At 42.0% G+C, this 5,463-nt stretch overlaps 1 annotated feature.

Moving 5' to 3' along the window:
- Positions 3,770–4,330: an enhancer, noted in NCBI's record as "NANOG-H3K27ac hESC enhancer chr10:123099460-123100020 (GRCh37/hg19 assembly coordinates)". NCBI's record gives its function as "activates a minimal SCP1, AML or CMV promoter by ChIP-STARR-seq in primed H9 embryonic stem cells {active_cell/tissue: H9 hESC(primed)}" and the evidence as "EXISTENCE:reporter gene assay evidence [ECO:0000049][PMID:30033119]".

Below are 5,463 nucleotides of genomic sequence, written 5' to 3'. Positions count from 1 at the left end.
GTATAAAAAAAATAAATAACATAATAAATTTATTGATTACTCTTCCAATATATATATAAAAAAAAAAGACTAGAGGACTTTCCTTTGTTTCCAGAAAGGCCTCTGTATGAACTAGGAGTCTTCAAAGATGGCAGTGTAAATTGTGTCAGTAATTGCCAATGAGTGGCTAGTGAAGATTCAGATTTGCAGTTTAGTTTTTCCTTGGTCCACATGGGATTACTGGTAGGTCTGTTTTTAACCACACTCAAAAATTCTCATTTGCCATCCACCTATCAATCCATTCATCTGTCTACCCATCCATCTCTGAACACTGTAGATAAAATGCTCTCTCCAAATGGAAGTGTCATTATATGCTTGCTTATTTATTGTCCTTACTCTCCCACGTGTGCCTTAGATGATAACTTCCATGAGAGTTCAGGCCCTATCTGTCGTATTCACTCCTGTGTCCTCAATACCGAGGAAACCACCTGGCACACAGTAGATGCTAAATAAATATTCCTCAAATAAAGGTACTATTAATAACTCATTATCATTTTGTAAGTCATTCACGAAACATTATATACCACTATGTCCTAGGCTTTGAGTTAAATTCTGGGCATGCAAAAATGAATGTGATGTCCTTTGCACTCAAGAAACTAACACAGTAACAAATATTTTCAATGGTAGTGATATAGATAGAAGGAAAGAAGAAATCACATTTATTAACTACCCCTATGCATTAGATACTGTGTTTGTTGTCTTCCATGTGGCGTATTCTTCTTGTACCACTTTTGTAAGGCATGAAAGGCATGATCCCCATTCTATAGGTGAGGAAACAGAGGCTCAGAGAGATAAAGTGACATCTCCATTGTTAACAAAAAGTGCTGTAAGAATACAGAAGATGATGTGGTTCATTATACTGGAGGAAGGGATATAGAACTAGTCAAGGAAAAACTTTCATAGGAGGTGACAATTGCACTGAGACTTGAAAGAGAAATAAGCAAGATGGCACCCAGAGGAGATGGAGGAGGAGATTCTCTGGCTCTTCATTCCAGCAGAAATACACAAAAGAGCAACACCAGTTTCAAAAAGGAAAATCGAGAGGGCCAGGTGGATAGATCACAAGGTCAGGAGATGAAGACCTGGCTAACACGATGAAACCCCATCTCTACTAAAAATACAAAAAATTAACCAGGCGTGGTGGCAGGTGCCTGTAGTCCCAGCTACTCGGGAGGCTGAGGCAGAATGGCATGAACCCAGGAGGCGGAGCTTGCAGTGAGCTGAGATCACACCACTGCACTCCAGCCTGGGTGACAGAGCGAGACTCTGTCTCAAAAAAAAAAAGGGAAAATCAGTGAAATATGTAGACCATCGGGAAGGAGGGGCCCTACCAGCTAGTGCACCTGAACATGAAAAACAAGATGCCTGTTCCCTACATATCTAACATTCTGTTTCCATGGTGGTGTCTTCCAAGAAATGACTTACTTTGCCACTGGACTTCTTTTTAAGGACAGTAGTGATCACGGGGAAGGGGAAGACCTGTTTGTCTTCCCAGAAATGGATTATGATCTTAAAATTAGCAGGCTGAGTCAACATTCTCAAGTGTTGATGCCTGCAATCAACAGATGAGATTTCCCTTAAAGAAATCATTATCTTTCAGAATAGAAGAAGGCACAAAACATTTTTAACTCATTAATTTCTGGTTGTTCCATTCTGCCTTGGACAGTAGTCTTTGTTGGGTATATAACCATAAAATATATATCCAAACAATCTCCCCCTCTTCCATCTCAAAATTATGTGGGTCATTGCCTTGCCCTTAACTCCAATTTGACAGCCCCACTTTGGTGTGAGAAGAAACTAACAGTATCAGGTTTCTTGGCCTTAAACAGTTAATTCATCTCACATGGTTGAGCTGCTCATTCCCAGGAAGTGCCTGCCCAGGCTCAGAACAGGGTCAGACCCAACTGTCACTGGGGGTGAGGGCTCTGGGCAGCAACAGATGCTCCCCCTTCCTGCCTCTTCCCCTCTAGAGAACACCAAATAGTCAGATAATTAAAAATGTTTCGTGTGTTCATCTTCCATAATCGAAATACCTGATATACCATAATGTTATTAATTTAAATATGTGGAGCTGATGTTAAGAATCTGGAGAAACTTCAAGAAGTCATATTTGGGGGATGATTTCCCCAGGTTTAAAAGAGATGAGTCAATCCAGAGGTTAAAAAACATGTATTGTCATTGGCAGATCGGAAACAGCTGGGCACGGCGGTTCACGCCTGTAATCCCAGCACTTTGGGAGGCCGAGGTGGGTGGATCCCGAGGTCAGGAGTTTGAGACCATCCTGACCAACATGGTGAAACCCTGTCTCTACTAAAAATACAAAAAATATCTGGGCATGGTGCCGTGTGCCTGCAATCCCAGCTACTCGGGAGGTTGAGGCAGGAGAATTGCTTGAACCTGGGAGGCGAAGGTTGTAGTAAGCTGAGATTGTGGCACTCCAGCCTAGGTGACAGAGTGAGACTCCGTCTCAAAAAAAACAAAAACAAAAACAAAAACAAAAACAAAAACAAAAAGCAAGCCCATCTTTACATCTCGCTCTTCAGATTCCAGCTCCAGGTATCAGTGTAGATCCTCACATATCTTTGTGTTCCCGGCAGTGGCTCAAATGTTACAATTGTTTTACTGAGGTGTCCATTGGTATTAAACCCTTCTGTATTTGATCGTTTTGATTGGCTTTCTCCTTCTGAACTGTGTTTCTGTAACCAATTTACAGGACTCCATATTCAATTGCAACTGCACCATGTTGTGGCCAGCAGAGCCCAGAGTTTGAGATCCGGTAGGGGCTTTCCCTTCACCATCAAGTTTGCTTTTGTGTCATCACCCTAGGAAGCCCCCTGGAGTCCACCTAGAGTCACTGTCTTGGGATCTGTCCCAAATAATGGGAAACAAGTTGGCAATACTTGAAGAATAGATCAGTCCTGCAATGAGCTCTCCCGTTGGCCTTCAATTTTCTGGGTAACCAGAAAAAGCAAATTGACTAGTTTTCTTTTAGTAGGAATTCTGTAACCTGTCAAAATGCACACATGTATGTATATACATGTATCTATGTGTACTATATGTATATATATCATTCGTCTAGGTATATATCTATATCTATTTTTTCCCTCTCTATTAAAGACATCTTTGCCAGAAGAGAAACTCTTGAGAAAATCAGTAATGCATTGATTCCTGGTTGACAATGGGGATTTAGAATGCTTTCAGAACCTATTGACTATTTCCAACTCTAAAATTTGTAAAAATCAACCCCACCAGCATCTGTCTTGAACCTAACATTAATCTTCAAAAAGCCTTTCCCAATAAGACCTCTAAAAGGGGTCATTTTATGACTTGCATCCTCAGCCTTCTGGCTTTGCAGTGATTTGTCTCCCTTTCCCATAGGCTGGTCTCACCCCATTCAAATTCTTCTCCCCCCACCTTTATAAACCCGCTGAATGACAATGGGAGACAAAGTGGACTTCTGCCCCCTCCTCCACTTGTCTTTTTCCACTCTCAGGATTTGTAACTCTGGGCAAGAGGGGAGGTAAAGTGCAGTAGCGTTTTGTGTCCCCTCCTCCCACCTCCAGGCTGCCGCCCAGGAGAGCATAATGCGGTAATAAAGACACCACTAAAGTTTAACCCGTTTGATTAAACAAGTGCAATGGGATGAAGACACCAGAGGACTTTATTTAAAAGTCTACCACTGGGACAGGGGCTTTGGGACAGGCTGGCCCTTTTCTTGTCTGATGCTCAGTCCTGGAGAGAGGGTGTTGAGCTGTTTGCAGCATTGTCTCAGTGAACCTAAATATTCCTCCTCCAGCATTATGTGAAGCGGATGCCTGAGCCTTTCAGAGACTGAGAGGCCACTGAGGGGGGTTGGGGGATTTGCCACTTCAGAGGAAGGGGAGGGAGTGAGCCGGCTCTGGGAACAATGGGGCTGGGGGCTTTGTAACTCAGAATCCTGTGCCCCTCTGAACTCTCCTCCTCTGACCTCCCCAAATTAGAGCAAACAATGGAATTGTGGGAATGCCAAAATCTAACAGCTTTGCCAGGGTTTTTGCATTTCTGCTTGAAGTCTTGTTTCCAGATGGAAGAAAGTCAATGAAAGGAGGGGGTCTTCGTGTAGGGTAATCCATGTTAGGCCACAAGAAATGGGGTGATGGCTCTGTCAGCAAGTGGTGGTCATGATCCTAAGAGTTTCTGATTTTCTTTTAGTCTTTTGAGATCACTGCCTATTCCTGATTCCACAACAGTCTAGGAAAGACATTGCTTTGAAGCAGAATTGAGTCTGCAGATCAAAAATGCTTTCAGTCATCATTCAATATTGGCAAAATTAAGGAGTGCTGGATAGCCCCTAAATCAGTCTTATTAAAGAGCTGACACTTAAACTTCTCCCAGCCAAAGTATTAGGGAGTGTGGGGGATGGGGGGATCCTACTTGGTTATCAGTGTTTGGATTTTCAGTGAGTTTAGCTTTACTCTCTTCACATCAATTTCTGATTGAAGAAATACAGAGAACTGAAGTTTCAGATTAACTCCTTTCATGCATTATAATGGTTAGTGGTGGAAGAGCTGCAGAAGTCTAGCTTTATTTGGAGAAGTAGACCCTGAGACTTTAAATGTTTCTGCCTGCATAAAAGTACCCAACCGCAGTGGAAATTGGGATGAAACCTATAGCTTTGCTTCTGATGTCTTTCCATAGCTGTGGGGTTTGAATTGAACAGAAAATCTAGAGCTGTCTTTTTAGAGGACATATACTTCCACTTTTCAGTTTTTTTCCAAGCTAGAGAAATGCCCACATTTTCCAACCTCAAAAGGATATTTTGATTCAGGTCTGCCCAAAGTTTGCTTGGGGATGATGAATTTCTTATCTTTGAGGGTTTTGCTACTTCTCGTGAATATACAAGTAGTTTATTGCAGAGCACTCCATGGTGATTATACTGATTGCGGGTGACTGATAGCAAACTGTTTAATCCCAGTTGACGTGGATTTTCTGCTTCTGGGCGGTATGTGTCTGTGAGTACATGCTCTGAGACTTGAGACAGAAATTTCTTTCTGATAGCCTAAACCAAGTGGGATTTAGAAGATAAGTCACGTTGAAAATAAACCACACAATACATTCTGTCCCCTCTGATCACTGATTTTTTTAAATCTATTTTTGATTTCTTTCTGTTCTAATTCTTCAGTTTTCTTAATTAAAATTTGATTTATAATTTCAGTTACACTTTCTGAAAAAGGTAGTTGTGTTTTGGGGGCAAGTTTGGAAACAAACCTAACTGGTTCTTTGGTTGAATATATTTGCTAAGGGTGAGGTGTAGTCACTGAAAACAACAAAAAAGAAAACTCCAAAAAGCCAGGAGAGGACTGGATCCTGGGGGGAGAGAATGTCTGCTCTGGGCTTGCCAGGCCCCATCTGGCTTAGCAGGTACCACGCTGGGAACTGCACTTA

This window comes from Homo sapiens, chromosome 10 (assembly GCF_000001405.40).
Source record: "Homo sapiens chromosome 10, GRCh38.p14 Primary Assembly".
Classification (NCBI taxonomy): domain Eukaryota; kingdom Metazoa; phylum Chordata; class Mammalia; order Primates; family Hominidae; genus Homo; species Homo sapiens.
Note: the sequence above shows the minus strand (reverse complement) of the source record. Positions and strands in the feature narration are given on the sequence as shown.